The sequence below is a fragment of the Homo sapiens genome, chromosome 3, assembly GCF_000001405.40.
Source record: "Homo sapiens chromosome 3, GRCh38.p14 Primary Assembly".
NCBI classification, from domain to species: domain Eukaryota; kingdom Metazoa; phylum Chordata; class Mammalia; order Primates; family Hominidae; genus Homo; species Homo sapiens.
In genome coordinates, this window is record NC_000003.12 from 180,595,020 (window position 1) to 180,618,758 (window position 23,739).

The 23,739-nt window shown below is 36.6% G+C and overlaps 2 protein-coding genes and 1 long non-coding RNA gene across 13 annotated transcripts in view, besides 2 other annotated features; 1 reads left to right on the forward strand and 2 right to left on the reverse strand.

Moving 5' to 3' along the window:
* Positions 1–7,094, reverse strand: part of TTC14-DT (TTC14 divergent transcript) — a 121,249-nt gene extending 114,155 nt beyond the window's left edge. For 3 of the 5 annotated variants that reach the window (NR_183700.1, NR_183704.1, NR_183703.1), the window contains exon 1: positions 6,884–7,094. This is a non-coding gene — a long non-coding RNA (TTC14 divergent transcript). Of the gene's footprint in view, positions 1–6,827 lie in introns of all 5 variants that reach the window. The other 2 variants (NR_183701.1, NR_183702.1) reach the window with 2 other exon arrangements.
* Positions 6,935–7,224: an enhancer, noted in NCBI's record as "active region_20875". NCBI's record gives its function as "activates an Ori minimal core promoter by ATAC-STARR-seq in GM12878 lymphoblastoid cells {active_cell/tissue: GM12878}" and the evidence as "EXISTENCE:reporter gene assay evidence [ECO:0000049][PMID:35858748]".
* Positions 7,144–23,310, forward strand: TTC14 (tetratricopeptide repeat domain 14). Of its 7 annotated transcripts, NM_001288582.2 has the most exons (13): positions 7,144–7,403; positions 7,872–7,996; positions 8,105–8,304; positions 9,206–9,290; positions 9,459–9,588; positions 9,833–9,988; positions 10,747–10,818; positions 11,234–11,353; positions 11,462–11,584; positions 12,629–12,746; positions 13,682–13,791; positions 14,611–14,984; positions 22,361–23,310. In NM_001288582.2, the coding sequence occupies exons 1-13, from the start codon at positions 7,243–7,245 to the stop codon at positions 22,546–22,548; spliced, it is 1,962 nt and encodes a 653-aa protein (NP_001275511.1). In that variant the 5' UTR covers positions 7,144–7,242; the 3' UTR covers positions 22,549–23,310. The 7 variants fall into 7 exon arrangements, with proteins under 7 accessions (NP_001275511.1, NP_597719.1, XP_016861228.1 ...); NM_133462.4 differs by lacking the exon at positions 22,361–23,310 and having other exon boundaries at positions 14,611–16,111; XM_017005739.3 differs by lacking the exons at positions 9,833–9,988; positions 22,361–23,310 and having other exon boundaries at positions 14,611–16,111.
* Positions 10,472–10,727: a silencer, noted in NCBI's record as "fragment chr3:180323279-180323534 (GRCh37/hg19 assembly coordinates)". NCBI's record gives its function as "represses an EF-1alpha promoter that drives an FKBP-Casp9 reporter gene in an ReSE screen in phorbol 12-myristate 13-acetate-treated (for megakaryocytic differentiation) K562 erythroleukemia cells {active_cell/tissue: K562(+PMA)}" and the evidence as "EXISTENCE:reporter gene assay evidence [ECO:0000049][PMID:32094911]".
* The window catches only part of CCDC39 (coiled-coil domain 39 molecular ruler complex subunit), a 65,482-nt gene continuing 60,731 nt past the window's right edge, over positions 18,989–23,739 (reverse strand). The window contains exons 17-20 of the mRNA NM_181426.2: positions 21,807–21,947; positions 21,497–21,676; positions 21,262–21,344; positions 18,989–20,058 (exon numbers count right to left, since the gene is read on the reverse strand). Coding sequence (NP_852091.1) covers positions 19,902–20,058; positions 21,262–21,344; positions 21,497–21,676; positions 21,807–21,947 — 561 coding nt within the window. The 3' untranslated portion in view covers positions 18,989–19,901. The remainder of the gene's footprint in view (positions 20,059–21,261; positions 21,345–21,496; positions 21,677–21,806; positions 21,948–23,739) is intronic.

Here is a 23,739-nt window from a genome sequence, read left to right on the forward strand (position 1 = left end):
GTGTTAGACATAAAATTATCCCAAAATGACTGTATATAATAGGGTCACAGTTCCCCATCCCTAAATCCTTGTTTAGTTAGCAGGTTTTCTGGTGAAGGACATAAAACTGGATACCATGATGATCTTACAGCACCCTCAAGTGGATTAGACTGACAATGTTTTTTTTCTTGAAGAAAGGTGTTGGTCTGTGATATGAAAAAGAAATAGAAGCTGGGAGAATCTTTTCAAACAAAAACCATGGGAATGAATGAAGATGTGCCAACTCTTATCAGAAGGGCTTGCAGTTTGAATTATTCCTCTAACAACAGGGATAGACATTTGGCTGAGTTTGCCATATTTTCCATTTAGTATTCCTCACTCTTCCTTGAGTCACTTCAGGACAGCTTTGAATAGAGTGTTAAACACAGATGGCTACCTTATATGGTAGCAAATTTGTAATCTAAACCTTTTACACCATGTGCTTAGGAATGAAATCAAGGGGCCCCATTATGGGAAAAAAAAGAGTTCAAGGCGATCTTTAGATAATAACATAATAACGGACATTTGTATTAGTCAGAGTTCACCAGAGAAACAGATAACAGGAGATACACATACACATACATACATACATACATACACACACACACACACACACGATGAAGACTTAGCTCATACAGTTATAGAGGATTATGGAGGCTGAGAAGTCTTGGGATCAGCCATCTGCAAGCTGGAGACCCAGGAAGGCTGCTGGCATAATGTAGTCTGAGTCCAAAGGCCAAGGAGAGCCAATGATATAAATCCTACTCTGAGGGCAAAAGAAGATGAAATGAGATGTCCCAGCTCAAACAGTGGGGCCAAAAAGGGGCACATTTTCCCTACTTTTGCCTTTTATTCTATTCAGGCCCTGAATTGATATATATATATTTTTTGAGACAGGGTCTCACTCTGTCGCCCAGGCTGGGAAAGGCTCACTGCAGCCTCAACCTCCCAGGCTCAGACGATCCTCCCACCTCAGCCTCCTGGGTAGCTGGAACTACAGGCATGTGACACCACACCTGGCTAATTTTTGTATTTTTGGTGGAGACAGGGTTTTGCCATGTTGCCAGTGCTGGTCTCAAACTCCTGGGCTCAAGCAATCCGCCCTCCCGGCCCTCCCGAAGTGCTAGGATTACAGGCATGAGCCACAGATCCTGGCCCCTCAGTGGATTTGATGATGACCAACTACATTGCGGATGGCAATCTACTTTACTGAGCCCACCAATTCAAATGCTAATGTCATCTGGAAACACTCTCACAGACACACCCAAAAATAGTCTTTAACCAACTATCTGGACATCCCCTGATCCAGTGAAGATGACACATAAAATTAACTACAGGTTGAGCATCCCTACTCCAAAAATCCAAAATCCAAAATTCTCCAAAGTTGGAAACTTTTTGAGCACTCACATGAAGCCACAAATGGAAAATTTCACACCTGACCTCATGTGGTAGAACCCAGTCAAAATGTAGGAACGTGGCACCATGTTTACTCAGCGTCCCAAGGGTAAAATAAAATTACCTTCAAGTTGTGGGTATAAGGTGCATACAAAACATAAATGAATTTTTTGTTTAGACTTGAGTCCCCAAGGTATCTCATTATATATATGCAATTATTCTAAAATCTCAAATTCAAAACACTCTGGTCCCAACCAGTTCAGATAAGGGATACCTGACCTATGTCATAATTTTTTTTAATAAAATAAATTCCATACATATATTTTAAAGCTACATCCTTAAAGAGCATGGTTTCACTGACCCTCTAAATGGCATGGTAATGGTAGAAAGAGTACTAGATACACAGTTAGACGACATGTATTCTAAAGTTAGTTTTTGAAAAACAAAAGCATGTATTAACCTCTCCATATTTGTTTCTTCGTTTTTAAAATGGCAGAGTAGAAAAAGCAGAGGCTACTAGTTGGTGGCTTCTTAGTGTATTAGTCAAAACCTTTGGTTCCAAACTACAGATTTCCTCCATCTGGCTTAAGCAACAAAAAGGGACTATTTTCAGGAAAATAAAGACAGTAATTGGAGAAGAACGAAGTTGGAGAACTGGAACTACCTGACTTCAAGACTTACTATAAAGCTATAGTAATTAAGACAGTATGGTATTGGCAAAAGAATAGACAAGTAGATCAATGGAACAGAATAAAGAGCCCAGAAATAGACCAACATAATACATAAGTACCGTCAACTGATCTTTAACAAAAGTAAAAAGGCACTACAATGGAGAAAAAAGATACTCTTTTCAGCCAGTAGTGCTGGAACAACTGGACATCCATATGCAAAAAAATGAATCTATACACAGGTCTTACATCCTTCACAAAATTAACTCAAAATGGATTATAGATCTACATGTAAAATGCAAAACTATAAAACTCTTAGAAAATAACATAGAAGAAAATCTAGATGACTTTGGGTTTGGTGATGACTTTTTAGATACAATACCAAAGTCATAATCCATAAAAGAAAAAAAAAACTGATAAGCTGGATTTCATTAAAATTAAAAATTTCTACTCTGCAAAAGATACCACTGGGAGAATATAATCCACAGGCCAAGACAAAATATTTGCAAATATATTAAAATATTTTAATAAATATATAAATTAAAAAATGGGCCAAAGACCTTAACAGACACCACACCAAAGAAGATATACAGATGGCAAATAAGCATATAAAAAGATGCTCCACATCATATATCATCAAGAGAATGCAAATGGAAATAACAATGAGATACCACTGCACATCTATTAGAATGGCCAAATTTCAGCACCCTGACATCAAACACCAGTGATGATGTGGAGCAACAGGAACTCTCATTAATTGCTGATGGGAATGTAAAATGGTACAGCCACTTTGAAAGACAGTTTGGTGCTTTTTCACAAAACTAAACATACTCTTACCACACAACCCAGCATTTGCACTCCTATGCAAAAGAGTTGAAAACTTATGTCCACCAACAATATGCACATGTATGTTTATAGCAGCTTTGTTCATAATTGCCAAAACTTGGAAGAAACCAGTATATCCTTCAATAGGATAATGGATAAATTGTTTTATAAATCCAGCAAATTGAATACTATTCAGCACTAAAGATAAACAAGCTATCAAGCCATGAAAAGACATGGAGGAAACCAAAATGCATATTACTAAGAAGCCAGTCTGAAAATGCTATATACTATATGATCTCAGATACATAACATTCTGGAAAAGGCAAAAATACGGACACAGTAAAAAAATCAGTGGTTGTCAGGGGTTCCAAGGAGAAAAAGAATAGACAGAGCACAGAGGATTTTTAGGGTGGTGAAACTACTTTGTAATACACTATAATGGTGAATATGTCATTACACATTTGTCCAAGCCCACAGAATATATGACACCAAGAATGAAACCTAAGATAAACTATGGACGTTGGATGATAGAGAGGTGTCAGTGTAGGTTCATCAATTTAACAAATGTACCACTCAGGTGGGGGATATTGATAATGAGGGAGGCTATGCATATGTGGGGGCAGGGGATACATGGGAAACTTTTTACTTTCTCCTCACTTTTGCTTTTAACCCAGAATTGCTCTAAAAAATAAAGTCCATTTTTTCTAAAAAGAAGAGAGCCTTTAAAAGATACTGAAAAATTAAAGTTAGAAGTATCATAATAGATTTCTAGGACCTTATTTGGTACCCACCATCCCTGACACACACACTCCAACCTTAACCCCAGCTAAAGGTGAGGCCTTGTTGAAACTGTTGGCATCAGGATCAAGAACCAGAAACAATCTATCTATAAATATTTCTCATAAAGTCATGGATTATTTGTAGATTCTTAACAATTGGTTATAAACGTTTCCGAGATGTAAAAAAAAGACTTTATCTTTTGCAGATTATGTCACTAGCTGCAGAAGTTATTTGTGGAAACTTGGGAGATCCAAGAAAAGCTACAATGAGATATGCTGCTTCTCCCACTTCTTTATGTGGCTACCTTGTTTCACCTAAGTTTCTGTGTTCTTTGCTAAAGAAATCAGGAATTTACTCTGTGTGTGTGGGTGTATGTATGTGTGTTGTACCCACAGAGAGGCACCAGGGGTTTCTTCCCACCAATCTATAGCCTACCTGAAATGACACGCTTACATAACCAAATGTCTATAATTAAAATATCCCTACCTACCTCCATTTCACACTTGCTGTCTCCAGAATGTATCTTGCTTTTTCACACCTCTACTTCTTTAATCATATTGCCCTCTGTGCCTGGACTGCACATAGTTGCCTCCCCCTCTCTCCTCTTACCCCCAGCAACTCCCACTACCTCACTTCACAGAGAAGAGGAATCTATGCAGACACCCTAGTAGGTGTCCACAATAGCACTTACCACTGTGCCATATTTGTTTCTTCTTATGTCTAATCCTGTGTTGCACTGTGAGCCACTCAAGAACCAGAGTTATTTTCTTCACCTTTATATCTCTAGGGTCTAGAGTGTTTATTAAATAATGTACATATGTGTTTATTTAGAAATTGAATTTAACATTTACAATAAAAATAGGCACAGGAACCAGACATCAAAGATCTGACTGCTTTAGATGTCCTGCCTTCTTCCCCCAACCCCATCCCACACTTTCCCCTGTCCCTCTCCTCAACATATTCATTTAGTTATTTATGTTGCTTAATCTGGAAAAGTTTCTCGAAAAAGATTTTTTTAAGGTAAGGCAAGAAGTAAAAAAGAAAAACAGTATTTTCTTCGTCGCCCACTTGAGAGGCCCCACATGTGGGACTAGTTTTTCTAAAATGAGAAGCAAACCTAGTCCCATTTCCTTTCCTCACTCCCTCCAATCCCATGTCAAAGATCCAGTGCCCTGTCCCCTTCAAAGTCAAAGGGGTGTCTGTCTCAAAAGAAAATGAACTCAAATACACCTGTAATTGTAAAAGGCTTTATCCTCTGCAATGGGAGTAGTATTCCGGAAGTAAAGAATAAGACTGCCTTCGGCACCCAACTAATGTGGCTACTTTCACATAAGGAACTAACCAAAGACAGAAAATCCCACGCTGAGTTTTGAGTACATTTGCTTAAAGTGCATTTCTTCTGTCACTACTATACGAAAAATATCACTCTTGATAAATGCTGTTTACCCCCTAAAAGGAGCTGCTTTCTATGTTCACGGCCATTTCAGATGTTCAAGGTATGAGGTGGGGGAGGGTTATCCTAGTGTTGGAATTAGGAAGAAGTATAGACAGATCCCATAGTGATAAAACCATGTGCTACTGAAGAATGGCCTCAGAAGGTGACATTCCCAGGCTAAGTAACACTATTTGGTGTCTGGTTCTCAGACACCGGTTTCTTAGTCCCTCCAAAAAATGAGGTCCTTGATCACAGATTGACTCTAACACAAATCACATACTTATCAAGATGTCTATAATAATTTTTAGTGGTCAGCTTTCCTTTTCAGTGACAGCACTCTTTCCTAAAAACAACCATTCTCTAGAGTTATGGCTTAAAACAAGTCAGTCTGTACCATTTATTAAAGTTGATATGCCTATAGAAGCTTGAAATTTATTTATTTATTTATTTATTGAGACGGAGTCTCCCTCCGGCGCCCAAGCTGGACTGCCGTGGCGCGATCTCAGTTCATTACAACCCCCGCCTCCGGAGTTCAAGAGATTCTCGTGCCTCAGCCTCCCGAGTAGCTGGGACTACAGGCATGAGCCACCACGCTCGGCTAATTTTTGTATTTTTAGTAGAGACGGGGTTAGGCCATGGTGGCCAAGCTGGTCTCTGAACTCCTGACCTCAAGTGATCCACCCTCGGCCTCCCAAAGTACTGGGATTACAGGTGTGAGCCACCGTGCCTAACCCAAATTTATCTTTTACAGTTGCATTCTTGTTTGTTGCATTTTCTCAAGTCTCAAACTGTTTACCTATTTGCCTGGGTTTTCCACAAAACAGTGTGGCAGTATCGATTATGTTCTGGGCTAGATCTCCTATACAAAAGTGGTAACACAGTGAAAGGCAAGTTGATTTCCTCAAAGACACATGGTGGGAAGTGGAGAGACTAACTGTCACCGTTTATTTCTGTTCAAGAGGACTATACTGAACTATTTACACTGAACATATTTAAATGGTACAAATTTTATACTGGAATAAAACGAAGCTACATGATCTCAAAATTAGGGTTAGTTAGACCTTCCATATGATAAAATACTCAATCCAGCAACTCTGCCTGAGAAGACCAATTAATACTTCGTTTGGAATCCTAACTCTAGCCTCTTACTAGCTGTGTGCCATTGAGCAATTTACTGGGACTCTCTGAGCATGTTTCCTCGTTTTCTAAAATGAAAAAGTACAATAGCTACCATAGTGGTTAGGTTCTCAAGTCAGTAAGTAAGGGGATGGGGGACCTAAGTTGAAATTCCCTTTGAAAATCACTTGAATTGTCCATAAGAACAGTATATTGACTTTTGCGTACATACCACTATACAGTAAGTCCCACAGACACTAAATTTTGAGCAACCATTGAGATAAACTAAATAAGAAATGCATGTGTTCATTAGTTATTGTAAAACTTGAATGGCATATGCACGTGTGGAGACATTAAAGCCATCCTGGTTTTAGAATTCACAATCACTAACAGTAAATGGGGTATGGATGGAGAACACCACTCCAGGTGCTTAACAAATGTCCGTGTCCTTCCTTTCTTCTGCCCTTAAAACCACCTGGAAACCTTCCCGGAGCAGCCGGTTGAATGGGGTTACGCCAGAGACACAGGTATTGATTTACGCAGAGAGTACGTCGAGGGAAGAAGCTTGGAGACTCGTATAGGGTTCTTACCCTGGCACTGGCACTTAGAAGCACCTTGATGAATACGAAAAGGAATTATTATTTACCCTAGGTTACAGCTCGAGCTATTTCGACGTAATAACGATCCCACGTACACTTTAAAAAGCAAACTTCTCACATACATCACTTCCTGGAAGCCCTAGTCAGCCTTTAGCCCAAGCAATGCTGAGCCCAATCCTTCGGCCTTCCGTAGTCTCGCTCGGTTTCGCGAGATCGAGGCTGAGCTCCGCCGCGCCGCCGTGGGGGCGACCCCAGAACACTTCCGGGTGTAACTGGTTGTGCTGTCTGTGTACTTCCGGCAGCCTCCAGACAGTTTCTTCCGCTTCCTGTACCACCCGGCTCAAGTAGCGGACACGGAACAGGGAACTATCAGCCCGTCGGCCTCCGGGCCCTGCATTCTCTAGCCATGGACCGGGACCTTTTGCGGCAGTCGCTAAATTGCCACGGGTCGTCTTTGCTCTCTCTACTTCGGAGCGAACAGCAGGACAATCCACACTTCCGTAGCCTCCTGGGGTCGGCCGCCGAGCCAGCCCGGGGCCCGCCGCCCCAGCACCCGTTGCAGGGCAGGTAATGAGACGTTGGTGCCACTGCGCCACGGAAGAGGGGACGCAGCTCTGGCAGCCACTACCGCAGCCCCGGGTTTGCGTCTAGAGGAAGTGGAGCCGCGGCCGTGAGCACAGGACGATCGCGCGCTGGTGTCTTGGGCTGGGTGGACGGGGGGCGCTCCTGGGTTGTGCAATGCGGGATGCGGGCTGAACTTTTTCTCTGGCACTGCTTGGTAGAGGCGCAGATTCCTTAGCTAAAAATCCCTTGAGCTTTCCTATCTGAGTTGGAGGCGTCACTTTTTAAGTTTCCCCGCTCTCCACCTCCAGGTTGGTTAATGAGGGAATGCCTAGTTAAAACTTTTTGTCTGAGGTTGTATTGTCTGCAGCTTAGGATGGAGCGGAATGGGCGATGAAAGCCATAAGCAGAAGGTTAGAAGTAAAGAGGCTTTGCAGATAACCCAATTTTCATATATATTTTTTTCTTTTTAAGAAAAGAGAAGAGAGTTGACAACATCGAGATACAGAAATTCATCTCCAAAAAAGCGGATCTGCTTTTTGCACTTTCCTGGAAATCAGATGCACCTGCAACTTCTGAAATTAATGAAGACAGTGAAGGTCAGTTTAGCCTTAAAATCTTTAAGATTGCGGTTCGGTTTAACAGTACTTCAGGTGAAACGGAACTCAAAACTATCGTTAGTGATTTTGTTAATTTTTTTTTTTTAGATCATTATGCAATCATGCCACCTTTAGAGCAATTCATGGAGATACCTAGTATGGATCGGAGAGAGCTGTTTTTCCGAGATATTGAGCGTGGTGATATAGTGATTGGAAGAATTAGTTCTATTCGGGAATTCGGTTTTTTCATGGTGTTGATCTGTTTAGGAAGTGGTATCATGAGAGATATAGCCCACTTAGAAATCACAGTAAGTTATTTTTGTTACTTGGATTGCTTCTGTTTTTGTTAACGCATCTCAATGCAAGAACTATATCTTTGCATGCAGTTGTGCTCAAGTATACCTGCCAAGATGCTTTTGGAAATTAAATGTTAATTGGAGAAAAATAGTTTAAAAAAATTAGTGTAAGTTACCCAGTTTCTCCCTCCATTTCTGGTTTTTGGGATTTTTTAAATTTAAACTGGTTGGCAGGCACAGTGTTCTTTTCTAAATGCTCAAAGAGGTATCAGTGGACGTGGTGAGGTTGATTGATATTCAGACTTATTTCTTGTAGTTGAACATATGTATTCTTAATTAGTTAATATTTGGCATTGTATATTTTCATGTGGATAATTTGGAGAGAAGTTTCATTTATATATTTACAATAATTAAATGTAAGTGGTTTGTACATTATATTAAGATACTTTGCCCAAGATGGATAGTCCTGAATTTAAACTAATGTGTCACGATAAAAGATTGGGTATTTGCCATCTATCCAGGCAGATAAAAAGGAAGAAAAGCAGAAGGTATTACAGATTGGATAACAGACAAAATACTTTGGAGAATTGGCATTTCATTTTCACTGGAATCCTTATACCTTTTAGACAAATTTTAGTTTGTTTTTGATGCATGTTGTATACTGTCATAAGCCATCATATTTGGTTCCTAAACTAATGGAAAGTTTCATGAGATTTTAGTTTTTTAACTGAACCAGCAAACATATTTTACTGTGTTTGGACACGGAAATTACTTTTAACTAAATCCTTATTTAAATTTTTACTTTAGGTTGTTCAACTACTAGCTGTTTCATACCAAACAACTAAGATAAAAGAAGACACTGTTCTTATCAAAGCTTGAAATGTCTGGTGTTTTAAAATACTTCTCATTACAGGCTCTTTGTCCCTTAAGAGATGTGCCTTCTCACAGTAACCATGGGGATCCTTTATCATATTACCAAACTGGTGACATCATTCGAGGTGATTAGTTTCATCATACTAATAAAAAAGTAATGATTGTTGAATTTTTGTTTTTATTAATTTAAAAAAATACAGTCTAAGAGGGTAGTGTTTGGGAAAGTTTATATTTTTTATGTTAGTTTACATTTTCTTACTAATCAGCTTAGTTCTCTTTTTTTTTTTCTTAAGCTGGAATCAAGGATATTGACAGATACCATGAAAAGCTAGCAGTATCTCTGTATAGCTCTTCTCTTCCACCACACCTATCTGGTATTAAATTAGGTGTAATTAGCTCTGAAGAGCTTCCTTTATACTACAGGTAATTTATCCGTATTATTTCAACAACAGTTCATTACAAAAGTCTCTTGGATTGAGGAATACCACATTTTTATAACGGTTAAATTACTTCAGACTTGGTAAAAGGAAACCATATCATAATATTGCCACACCATCTTATGCAAAAAATGGAATTAGTATTTAAACCTCAAATGATATTATTTCTTTACTAGAAATGGAATGTCAAATTAGTCATTTTACAATTTTTGTGTTTGTATTTTTTTAAGGAGAAGTGTTGAGCTAAATAGCAATTCTTTGGAGTCCTATGAAAATGTCATGCAGAGTTCCTTGGGATTTGTTAATCCAGGAGTAGTTGAATTCCTTCTAGAAAAACTAGGAATAGATGAATCTAATCCACCATCTTTAATGAGAGGCCTACAAAGGTATAGTACATCAGTATTACTCTTAGATGGTGAGGGGAGTGGCAGTAAGCTCAGAAGCTGCGTTTAGCTGAAGGACGTATTTTACCATCCTAAGCCACCTAGTAGCAGGCATATGCCAAAGGTTGAATGAACCAGGTGATCCCATCTTCTGGACTGGACTGTCTTATCAGTGATTAATATGTGTACCATGTAACCAAGTAGAGAAGGATGCAGAAACTTTTTATAAGAATTTTGTGTGTATGCTAAAGAAAAATACTGGGTTTTTTTGTTTTTTGTTTTTGTTTTTTGAGTCGGAGTCTCACTGTGTCACCCAGGCTGGAGTGCAGTGGCGCTATCTCAGCTCACTGCAAGCTCTGCCCCTGGGTTCACGCCATTCTCCTGCCTCAGCCTCCCAAGTAGCTGGGACTACAGGTGCCCGCCACCACGCCTGGCTAATTTTTTTTTCTTTGATTTTTAGTAGAGTTGGGGTTTCACCGTGTTAGCCAGGATGGTCTCAATCTCCTGACCTCGTGATCCACCCGCCTCGACCTCCCAAAGTGTTGGGATTACAGGCGTGAGCCACCGCACCTGGCCAAGAAAAATACTGTTTAACAATAATAATCATTTCGAAAGTTCAAAGATTTTGGTATGTAAATAGAATGCAGATTTCTTGCTTGGGATTCATACTTTCACTGTCGAGTGCCTGTCAAGCAGAGTTAAGTATAGTTACTTAAAAAATATTTGTGGTTTAACTTTTTAATTTTTATTTTCTTTAATAGCAAAAATTTCTCTGAAGATGATTTTGCTTCTGCATTGAGAAAAAAACAATCCGCATCTTGGGCTTTAAAATGGTATGAAGACTGTCTTTCAACAATTGCATTATATCTAGTCTAAAAGCTTAGGGCAAGGCAAGCATGCTTATATCATCAATAAGACAAATTTGAGATGCATTAAAGTGATGCCTTTTTGACATGAGCTTTTCTTTTATAGATGTAAGTAGTCTTACATTTTACACTTAACAGATAAGTTTTACTCAGCATTTCAGTTTTCTCAAAAGGAATTAGTATATTGATATCTAGGTTTCACCAATATTTGTTGTGAAAATGTCCAAAGGCAGAAGAACGTTCCTTAGGTATATTGTGAGTACTCTGAAAACTAAATATTTTGCCAAGTTTGATGACATTTGCTTTTAAAACTTATTCACACTAACATTTTATTTAGATATTGTTTGAAGTGTTTGTGATGCTTTACAAATGTCTTTTTTAGTGTGAAGATCGGAGTTGACTATTTTAAAGTTGGACGCCATGTGGATGCTATGAATGAATACAATAAAGCTTTGGAAATAGACAAACAAAACGTGGAAGCTTTGGTAGCTCGTGGAGCATTGTAAGTGAATCATACATGGATTTTAAGGAATGTTTACCAGGTAAATGCGAACAAGATTTATGAAGAGCTTGTGAGATACAGCCCTCTATCTTTGTTTCATGTCTCTAGATATGCGACAAAAGGAAGTTTGAACAAAGCAATAGAAGATTTTGAGCTTGCATTAGAAAACTGTCCAACTCACAGAAATGCAAGAAAATACCTCTGCCAGACACTTGTAGAGAGAGGAGGACAGTAAGTATCAGATTTTGTTTAATAGTGGAGGTCTAATGTTCAACCAACCACTAAAAAATTTTGAACTTAAGGAAATAGTTTCTTAAGCACTTAATTTATAACACTCTTGGTTTCAATAAATAAATGGGAAAGTACAAGAGATTAGGCAAATACTCTTTTCCTAGATAATATACTCAAAAGTTTTTGGTTTAATGACTATACTATTTGTGTAGTCATTCCTGTTTGTGATCACAAATTCCAAGTTGATTAAATTTTGCAATATTCGTTTATAATTTATAGGAACTTCTATTTAATGATTGGAGCAGCTTTTTACATACTTACTAGGTGGATAACTAGTAACTACTTATATGTGGTTGTCTTATAGCCTTGTATTGATGTCTTTGAGCTGAGTGAATAGCAATACCCTGTAGTTACCTAAGCCAGAGATACTGTTCATCTTTGACTTGTCCTTTGTTTCCCATATCCAGTCTACTGACACAAAAGTGATCCCATTGTATTTGTTTTATAGTAATTTCTTTTTCCTTCTAAGAACCCAAAGCACTTTGCAACATCTTTTGACTGCTTTATGTCCAAACTTTCTCATTCTGGTGTTTCACAACCCAGACTTGTGAAATTCATCTAATGATTATGCTATTTACAGGCTCATTGTGATATATGTGTATGTTGGTATTTCCAAAGATTTCCAAAATTTTCTGTAGATAATTTTTCATAAACTACTAGGGAAAAAAGCCTGCTGGTATAATTCTGTGCTAAAATTCAAGATCATACTAAATTTGTGGACACCCATTTATCATGGGTTTTTGTGTATTACTGCAAAAATGTGCCAATATTGGACATATACCTTTAGTTACTAGTAAGATTTCTGTTTATGTGGTCTATGAAATAAATTACAGTAAAAAGCATATTATTTTGGTATTTTATTTTGGAAAATAATTTACTTGGCTTTTCCCTAATAAGCTCTCTCATATAAGCCTTTGACCTGTATGCATATTTGGATAGTTTTGTTGTTTTTACAAAAAAGCTAAATCTTTCTTTCAAATTTAGGTTAGAAGAAGAAGAAAAGTTTTTAAATGCTGAAAGTTACTATAAGAAAGCTTTGGCTTTGGATGAGACTTTTAAAGATGCAGAGGATGCTTTGCAGAAACTTCATAAATATATGCAGGTGATTCCTTATTTCCTCTTAGAAATTTAGTGATATTTGAAATAATGCCCAAACTTAATTTTCTCCTGAGGAAAACTATTCTACATTACTTAAGTAAGGCATTATGAAAAGTTTCTTTTTAGGTATAGTTTTTCCTAATTGGGTTTGACATTGCTTCATAGTGCCTCTGTTTTTGTCCATAATCGAAAGTAAAGATAGCTGTGAGAAAACTATTACCTAAATTTGGTATGTTGTTTTGAGAAATGTCCTTATAGGGAGCTCACCTGGTGGTTTTTAAATTATTGTTGCTACTATAATTGAGCTAATTATAAAAACCTTTTTGAGACATATTTTAAATTGTCTTTTCCTGTAATACTGATGATGATGTTTTCTCATGCATTTTCTTCTGAATTGGACCATTGCTGCTGTGTCTGTGACATCTGGTGCTGCTCATCCCCATCCACAAACTGGAAAATGATTTCCTATGTAATCATGCATCCAACTGGGCTGTGCTATTTTTTTAAATGGTTTGTATTTGAACATGGTGATTCCTCCTTCACTTCACCTTAACGGAATGTCTTTATTTGAATTTTATTTGTAAAATGTGTCCTGTTTAAATTTTTCAATCTTTAAAAATAATTTTTATGTACTTTTTTTTTTTTTTTAACCTTTCTTGCACTCTGGGTCATGGGTACCACTGCAATGGCTTCCCCTTTTTTTATGGGATACCAACTGCAATATGGTCCTCAATGCTGTTCTGGCCATTTCAATGACTAATGCCAAACATCTGTATGACTAATTTTTTTATGTTAAAAAAATACTGTTTAATGCTGGCTCTATGGTGATTTGGTTTTACTAAATTGGGTTTCTCGTTGGGGGTGGTCTTTTGAATACTGGGTTTTATATATTCTGCTATTTTTAACGTGTGGTTTTTTTCGATATCTGGGTTCTAAAAGAAATCTTTGGAATTAAGAGAAAAACAAGCTGAAAAGGAAGAAAAGCAGAAAACAAAGAAAATAGAAACAAGTGCAGAAAAGTTGCGTAAGCTCTTAAAAGAAGAGAAGAGGTAAACTATAATATTCAGTATTTTTAAACTTAAGGCAACTACTGAATTGAACCCAAAGTGCCATACTGGAGGTAAAGTAAATAAAAATATGAAAGTATTTCAAGTGCCAATCAGTGACTGTTAAGAATCTTTAGCAAATATGTGTTCCATGTATTTTCTTATTAAAGAGATGAAGTGGAATTTAAGGCTAGAATTCTACAAAAAAAGAGTATCTTAGAATTAAAATATAGAATAAGTTACTTTAATTATGTTTTAGGAAGAAATATTTTAGAACTAGAGCAGTGGTTCTCAACTAGGGGTGGATTTATTCACCCGGGGACATTTGACAAGATGTGGAGACATTTTTGATTGCCATAACTGATAGGGTGCTACTGCATCTAGTGTATAATGGTCAGGGATGCTCTTAAACATTCTGTAATGCACAGGTCAGCTCCCACCCGCACCCCCACCCCCTACCAAGAATTATTTGGCTGAAAATACCAATAATCAGGTGAAGAAACCATGAACTAGAGGTAGCCAAATAAAAAAGTTGAGTTCTCCTTTATGTGTTCAGTAGTCTTAAGTTTTTAAGGTAGTGTTGAAAAAAGTCTGTCTTTCAGAGATGATGGATTTGCTTACAATGATACCTGTCTGCAAGCATTTTTTCCCCCAAAAGTGCTTAATAGTAAAATTAGATCTTGTAGTAGCCGAGATTATTGTATCATTTATCTGAACCACAGCTTTTATAAAATCTTTAAAGGAAACAAATAGGGCCCACATCTTTATGAATAATTTAGAAACATTTTTGTATATATATGACAAATGAACTGTTTTTTTTAGGCTAAAGAAGAAAAGAAGAAAATCAACTTCTTCTTCAAGTGTTTCTTCTGCTGATGAATCAGTGTCTTCATCATCATCCTCTTCCTCTTCTGGTCACAAAAGGCATAAGAAACATAAGAGGAACCGTTCAGAGTCTTCTCGCAGTTCCAGAAGGCATTCATCTAGGGCATCCTCAAATCAGATAGATCAGAATAGGAAAGATGAGTGCTACCCAGTTCCAGCTAATACTTCAGCATCTTTTCTTAACCATAAACAAGAAGTGGAGAAACTACTGGGGAAGCAGGATAGGTTACAGTATGAAAAGACACAGATAAAAGAGAAAGATAGATGCCCTCTCTCTTCATCTTCACTTGAAATACCGGATGATTTTGGAGGTAGGTCTGAAGATCCAAGAGATTTTTATAACAGCTATAAAACCCAAGCAGGTAGTAGCAAAACAGAAAAGCCATATAAATCAGAAAGACATTTTTCCAGTAGAAGAAATTCCTCAGATTCCTTCTGTAGGAATTCAGAGGACAAGATTTATGGTTATAGGAGATTTGAAAAGGATATAGAGGGAAGAAAAGAGCACTATAGAAGGTGGGAACCAGGTTCTGTGAGGCATTCTACCTCACCAGCAAGCTCAGAATACTCTTGGAAGTCAGTTGAGAAATACAAAAAATACGCTCACTCTGGATCACGTGATTTCAGTAGACATGAGCAAAGATACCGTTTAAATACAAATCAAGGAGAATATGAAAGAGAGGACAATTATGGGGAGGATATCAAAACAGAGGTTCCAGAAGAAGATGCACTAAGTAGCAAAGAACACTCAGAAAGCAGTGTTAAGAAAAATTTACCTCAGAATTTACTGAATATATTTAATCAGATAGCTGAATTTGAAAAAGAAAAAGGAAATAAGTCAAAAAATTAATACACCAAGGATATCGGCACCATTACACAAAATGCCATTAAGTGAAGTTTTTGGTTGTATTAGTCATAACAGTTGAGTGCAGAAATCTCTGCTTCTAAAATTATTTGTAGAGATTACAGGAAACAAATGCTTTTAAGTAAGTTTTTCTCAAATTTTGTTTCAGTTCTAGGTCCCTTGTCACAGCTTGGTTTTTAGACTTTTTATGTATATGTTTATGTACAGTATATTACTCTTGACAGTTTGAATTTCTTCACCTAAAGATAATTCTCTGAAAGTACTGTTTCTTCATTCTATTGCGGTATATGAGAATTCCTGGGTGCATCTTATTCTGCTGTTTGAGAGAAAAATTTGTGCATTGAACACTTGGATCATTTTTATAAAAATTAATTTCATTTTCTTTTCTGTTAAATTAAAAATCGTCAGCTTTTGAAAGATTATATGTTCGAATGTTTCTTGAACACTTTTATATTTATCAGTTTAAATATTACATTTTTTGCCCAATTTTTTTTAAAATTTTTAAATGGTAGATTATATGTCTTAATTTTCCTCTAAAGCCCAATTTGATTAAAAGTGGTTTGTGAACAGTCATTGGCTTCCACCCAGCATAAGTGCCTTAGGAATAAGATCATAAAAGTTGAATAGGAGCCCATTTTGCTTATTTCTCCATTATTTTTTACCTCATTGCTAGCATAGCCATAAAAAGCTTTTTAACTTTAAATATTTACAAGGCCCTTAGGGCCTGTATTCCACGCAAGGGTAAATCAGAAAAGAAAAAAATCCTTTTAGCAAAAACATAGCAGTAGCAGAGAAGCACATTGTAAATCTGGCTTTTCTTTAGGGAAAGAAAATTGGGAGACTCTCCTAGTGTAGCAGATGTTCAGTCCAGAAGGCACTAGGCATGTCGTTAAATCTGACCTGCATTTCTTCTTACCACCTCCTGTGCCTTGATGCTTCTCTGATGACCCCTTTCTCAGAGTCTGAATAAATAACTAGACCAACTAGAGCCTGGTTTTACTAAGAATAATAAATTCCAGCAGCTAGAGCTGAAGAACAAAGAGACTTGGATTATAAAGATCCTCCCCAAATTGCTGAAAATAGTGTGGTATATTCTTTGGGAGACAGATAGAGATAGGAGTCATAGGTACTGGGTTTATGATGTCATTAGAGTTTGCAGTTTAAGATTCTCAAAGCTGTAAATTACAATGGACTTTAGATACTGTCACACACAATGACACTAGATAAGTGGGTGGGTAGCTGAGGATCTACAGAGGTCTAAGTGAGGGAGAATAATAGAGGAAGAAGAGACTTATTCCTTGTTCTGTCTTGCAGTTCTTGCCAACAGTAAAATGTCCAGGCCTTAAGTACTGGGTGTGTATTATCTGTGTCTATCAAACTCCAGTAATGAGAGCCTAGTGAAAAATCTGAAATTTCTTTTGCAAATGGAACAGTGAAAAGAAACCCTGGTCAAGAGCAATAGATAATGGTGATAGAAATCGGCTAGTCACTCAAAGCATTAGTCTTTGCACCAAGAAGAAGCTTCTTTAAGAAATTCATCTTAAAAAGAGTCCTTAATAATTCTATGTATTAATAGCTCCAGTATCATCTTTACAAAGTCGTGTTTATAAAGAAAGAGTGAAAACTACTTCTTGGCATACATAGCCTTTGACCTTTTGGAATCCCTAGTTCAGCTTAAAATTTTAAACACAACATTTAAAAAATTTTTTTTTCCTTAATTAATTCATATAAATTTAAGGGGTACACATGCATTTTTGTTACATGGATCTATCGTGTAGTGGTGAAGTCTGGGCTTCTAGTGTAACCATCACCCAAATGATGTACATTGTACCCATTTCATAATTTATCATCCCTTACCCCCCTGCCAACCTACCAGCATTGGCGTAGGCAGAATTCATGATTCAGACCTCAAAAGTGGAAGCAAGAGGGGCTGAGTACAGTCACTCATGCCTGTAATCCCAGCACTTGAGGCTGAGGGAGGAGGATTGCTTGAGGCTAGAAATTTGAGACTGGCCTGGGCAACGCAGCATGACTCCATCCAAATAAGTTGGGTGTGGTGGTGCATGCCTATAGTCCCAGCTATGCGGGAGGATCGCTTGAGCCCAGGAGTTCGAGGCTGCAGTGAGCTCTGATTGTGCCACTGCACTCCAACTTGGGTGACAGCCAGACTGGTGTCTTAAACACAACAAAAACAAAATGGGACTTAAGTAAGCTACGAAGTTCTTGCACAGCAAAAGAAATAACACAGTGAACAGACAACCTGCAGAATGGGACAAAATGTGCAAACTATGCATCAGGCAGGGGACTCATCCAGAATTTACAAGGAATTCAGCAAACCAAATCACCCTATCCAAAAGTGAGCAGAAAACATGAATAGGTATTTTTCAAAAGAAGAGATAAAAATGGCCAAGAAGCGTATGAAATAATACTCAACATCACTAATTAGAGAAATGCAAATTAAAACCAAATGAGATATCTCTCATCAGTCAGAATGGCTATTACACCCCATTCAATGTAAGAGAATAGTACCTTATCCTGTAGGCTGCCTGAATTTATTAGGTAGGCGCAAAAGTAATTGCAGTTTATGCCATATTAAGCAGAGTATACAAACCAATTTCTAAGGAAGTTCATCACAGCAAAAATTATTGGGGATTTACATTGTCAAGAATAGCGACATCTTCAGTAATTTTTCTCAAGATCATATATTGCCATATCTTGGTCTCCATAAGCAGATGAAGCATGACTTTTGGATATGAGGATAAGTGTCCAGATTTGGAGATAGGTTGATCCCCTGTCGCACCATTTGTCATTACTACACTGAAGTTGTTAGAACTGTTATTTAAGGATTAAATGTAGATTCGTATGCTGGCCCAAGAACCAAACCATTCCACAAATTCTGTGCTAAGCTCCAGGTGGCAACTCAGTAAGTAGAAGTTATATAGTGCAATTTCTGTGTGTCAAGCCCTGTGCATCTTTTTTATATTATCAAATTCGGTAAACTTGTAGGTAACTTTCTGTGTCTATAGTACAAATGAGGAAAACAGGGAAGTAACTATCCAAGGTTACAGAGCTAGTAAGATACAACCTCTACCTTCATAGAAGAGTGTTTAATATTACTTCAAGTTTTAAGTAATTCCCAAACTAGCACAGGGCTGAGAATAAGAACTTTGATGAGCAAAGTGACTTTAATTAGTTTTTAGGTCTTATAAATCTCATGCATTAGAGCAGTACTTTAGCCAAAAATTTTATTACCTACCTTTTTTTTCGCCCACCTTATTCTTGACTTTGCTATGCCTTTTTCCTATTTCTAAAACAAAACAAAAAATAATCAGGAGAACTATTCACTACCACTACTGCTTTTCAGAAAGAAGTACAAACAACAGTTCTAAAATAATGACAGTTGTAATGAGCATTTTTTCCCAAGGTTTGAAGGAGACACATGTACATTCGTGAATTCTAATACATTTATTTAAAATCCAGTTTTATAATATTCCACACTCTATTCCAAGAGTACAAAGTGTTGGGCACATGTTATAATGAAGTGTTAACTGGAAAAACTACTACATTTGGCAGTCTACCTCCAACTGTAAATGAAATTTCTATTGCAAATCAAGTCATACCTAGCTTTCATTAAATCGTTTATTAAATCAAGAAAATTTCAAAATTGTTTATACTTGGTTGGCTGTATCTGAAAGCAAATCTTTAATGCGTTTATTTCAAGGTCAGAAGTGATTTATTTCAAGGTCAGAAGTGATTTTTCTAAATTTATGCTGCATTTTAAAATTGATATACAGTGTTTCTCTTACCGGTTTTTTTTTGGGGGGGTGGGGTGGGTAGGGGTTGATGCTATTTTTTGGTTAAAAATTATAGCAAAAGAAGAAACTGCCTTTAACAATTTTTCTCCCCAAAAGTCTGAGAAATAGTTACTTTGAATAAAGAAAACCTAATTTTGGTGTCTTGTAGGGTAAATGAGATTTTCACATTGCAATACGCTCATAATAGTACAGTAAATCTTTAGAAATTTCTTCTTGAAAGATTGTTACATTAGAAGTGAGTGTAGTTTCGTGAAATAATGAAGCAAACTATTTTCTAACACTACGAACATCAGAATTACAGTGAAATACAGCATTTTTCCTATGCTTGTATAACATGTAGCCTTGTCAAGAATCTGCTATTAATTTCTTCAGTATGAAGAAAACAGTAGAGAAAATGAGAACGTTCCTTTTTTTTTAAAACTATCAGTTTTTACACTTACCACTAAGTTTTTACACTTTCCACTAGATAAAATGTGTTGGGTCGTTTTGTATTTTAAAGTATATTTTTGTTTTTGTGTTTACAACTTTTTCAGAAGAGATTAAAATGTTTATTTGCTGCTCTTTTTGCTCTTAACATTACTAGAGCTACTACTAGCACTAGATGGCCTAGAAGGGCTGCCTACTAGTGAAGAGGAGGCCGGGAATTTAAGCTCCAGTACTTTAATTGAAGACTGAGAAGTAGATGTACTTGTACTCCTAGATGACCTAGAAGAAAAACCAGAATTATAAATTCAATGCAAAGTTTATATTTTAGTATAGACCCTCTCATTATTGGCAAAAGGTACCATAATTCCATAAGTAAAGACATCAAAAAAGTACATATTAATAGTGTTAAGTTTTTAAATGACCATCAATAGATATCAAACAATTTAAACAGGAAAGGAAAGATGAACATAGATGAGTTTCAAACCAGTAGAAAAGTAGTTTAATAAGTATGTTCCTACATGGTAAAAATGCTTTGAACTATAATCAGTTTTTTAGAGTTGGAATCATTAAGCATTGAAAGTTTCCAAAACAGAGGAAATAGGGCCAAGAGGATTTGGTGCTGGCAAAAATAATTAAAATGATACCTTTTGTAATTTAAGCTGAAGAGAAGAGAGAAGCATATTGATGGATAAAGTGGTGGGGTCATTTGAAAAACAGCTAGCTATATAATTCTGAAAAAAGTTTTAAATATATATTTTATGAAAGTACAGGGATGTTCAGTTATATAGAAACAGTTTTTTATACTTAAATGAAACACTTTTTTTAGGGGCCTCTTCATGAAATTTTTACCTGGACTAAGGAATAGTAATTTAATAAGTAGCTGCTGAATGCAGGAGATTGTGAATTCTAAAATCAGGATCATTATTAATAAATTTTTGTCAGCAAAGCACAAGAATGTTTGCTTAAGCATCTGGTGATAGAATTCTGGGTAACAACTGCAGAAGAAAAAAAAAGGGGTTTCCTTTTTAGCAAAATAAAGCTTCATAAAGTCAAATCCTGATTATGTAAAATACCACAGTGTGGTTTGAATCACAAAAATCATATTCTATATGTCTGTACATCTAAGCTGCCCTTACATGTTTTTAAAAAAATTCCCCCAACTTGGGGGTTCACCCCCAAATGCTAGATGTAGCCCCCAAATTTATTTCTGTTTTATCCTACTGAAATAGCTCATAGTCACAGAGCACTTGGGCTATACTGGAAATAGTGACACCAGCAGAAGTCAGAAGGAAATTCTTGTTCTGCTGGCTGTTTCTGCATCTAATCTATATGATGCTGACTAGTGAGATGTCTGACAGTGAAAAGAACACTGGCAGTGAGTGCATGGGCCTGCCTAACAGCTGCGGTGATGTAGAAGTGGCTGGAATCACTTAGTGTACAGCTGTGAGAGTTAAGCAGATTTTTTTTTAACCCTCCGCTTACCTTGCTGATAGTGAAGTATGTGAAGGAGATCTAGAGCTCTGACGACTGCCTTTTGTGCTAGCTGTAGGTAGTTCTAACCCACTCTGGAGGAATATTCAATAGCAATCATTAGTACTACCTACTGTTTTTTAGAAGATAAATATTTTTAATTAGCTTTCACTTCATGATGAATGTCATGAAAGTTTTTATTTTCATGAAGTTTTTAAGAAATATTTAATAGAAGGTGCTGTATTACCTGTTGAAAGTATGTTTGAAGGATAATACGGATCTCAGTATTTTCTTCTATGATATCAACTAACATTTCATCAATAACTTTGTGAAACTGTTTCATTTCACGAAGTTTGATGTCTTGTTCTTCCATTGTTTCATCTTTTGTGTCTTTCAAAAGACGGATTTCCTTTGTGAGTTTTGCACACTGTTGGTAAATAATAGTCAATTATTCTATAAACGTGTTTACCAGAATTTAATATTTTTAATAGATGAAGGAGGATTTGGGACTTCAAAAATGTAAATATGAAAGGTCAGTTTTTAAAAGATATCGATACCTGTTTGGTCACTCTTTCTAATTTTGGCTTCTGCTCCTCCGTTTCTTTACTTAGTTGAAATGAATAAGCCTGCTTCTCTGATAACTTTTCTTTAACATTATTTGCCAAATGTTCTATAACATCTAATGTATTTTCCATGCTCTGTAGAAAAAATATTAACATGTATTTTTTAGAATCAGAAATTGACTTTTATAACTTGTCATTTATCAAGTATTCATTTAATTTTAATTCATTTATTTTTGTACATAATATACATTATTTCTGTTGATGTACCTCTTAATGACATCTCGGTCAATGATGGACTGTATATATGATGGTGGTCCCATAGGATTATAATGGAGCTGAAAAATTCCTGTTACCTAGCGACATTGTAATGTGGCACAATACATTAGTCATGAGTTTGTGGTGATGGCTGGTGTAAACAAACCTGCATTGCCAGTCATATAAAAGTCTAGCACATACAATTATGTACAGTGCATAATACTTGATAGTGATAATAAAAGATATTACTGATTTATGTATTTACTATACAATATACTTTTATTATTTTACAGTGTACTCCTATTTATTTAAAAAGTTAACTATAAAACAGCCTCAGGCAGGTCCTTCAGGAGATATTCCAGAAGAGGGCATTGTTATCATAGATGACAGCTCCATTCATGTTACTGACCCTGAAGACCTTCAAGTGGGACAAGATATGGAGGTGGAAGACAGTGGTATTGATGATCCTGACCACGGGTAGGCTTAGGTTTATGTGTGTGTATGTGTCTTAGTTTTTAACAAAAAAATTAAAAAGTAAAAAAACTAAAAATAGAAAAATGCTTAGAGAATAAGGATATAAAGAATATTTTTGTGCAGTTGAACAATGAGTGCTTAAGCTAAATGTCATCACAAAAGAGTAAAAAAATTTTACAAAATTAAAAATGTTTAAAGTTAAAAAGCTCTAGGAAGCTAAGGTCAATTTATTATTGGAGAAATAAAATTATTTTTATGAATTTACTGTAGCCTAGGTGTACATTATTTATCATGTCTACAGTAGTGTTCAGCAATTAGGCCTTCACATTCTCTCACCACTCACTCACTCAGTCACTCACCCAGAGCAGCTTCCAGTCCCGCAAGCTCCATTTATGGTAAGTGCCCTGTACAGGTGTACCATTTTTTTAATCCATTATACCATATTTTTATTGTACCTTTTCTATGTTTAGATTTGTTTAGATACACAAGTACCACTGTGTTACAGTTGCCTATAGTACTCAGTACAGTAACACACTTTACAAGCTTATAGCCTAGGAACAATAGGCTATACCATCTAGGTTTGTGTAAGTACACTCTTATGATGTTCACACAGTGACAAAATCGCCCAAGGATGCATTCATCAGAACACATTCCCATTGTTATCCAATGCATGACTGTATAATGGTTTTATGGATTAAATTTTTTATGTAATTCAACTGGAAAGTATTTTTATGTTATTTTGGAAAAAATAAAACAATGACAATTGAAATCATGGAATCTGCAAAGATTCACAGTATCTCTTCTGCTTTATTAGTAAAATCAATGTTTAGCGCCTGCTTACAAGGCACTTTTTTTTTTAATTATACTTTAAGTTTTAGGGTACATGTGCACAACATGCAGCTTTGTTGCATATGTATACATGTGCCATGTTGGTGTGCTGCACCCATTAACTTGTCATTTAACATTAGGTATATCTCCTAATGCTATCCCTTCCCCCTCTCCCCACCCCACAACAGGCCCCAGTGTGTGATGATCCCCTTCCTGGGTCCACGTGTTCTCACTGTTCAATTCCCACCTACGAGTGAGAATATGAGGTGTTTGGTTTTTTGTCCTTGCATTAGTTTGCTGAGAATGATGGTTTCCAGCTTCATCCATGTCCCTACAAAGGATATGAACTCATCCTTTTTTATGGCTGCAT

Bases quoted from the DNA above. Each gene is read 5' to 3' on its own strand.
- TTC14 (NM_133462.4), top strand. From the start codon at position 7,243: ATGGACCGGGACCTTTTGCGGCAGTCGCTAAATTGCCACGGGTCGTCT. The intron at 11,354-11,461 runs GTAAGTGAATCA...TCATGTCTCTAG, and splicing joins TTGGTAGCTCGTGGAGCATT to ATATGCGACAAAAGGAAGTT. The intron at 12,747-13,681 runs GTGATTCCTTAT...GGGTTCTAAAAG, and splicing joins AACTTCATAAATATATGCAG to AAATCTTTGGAATTAAGAGA.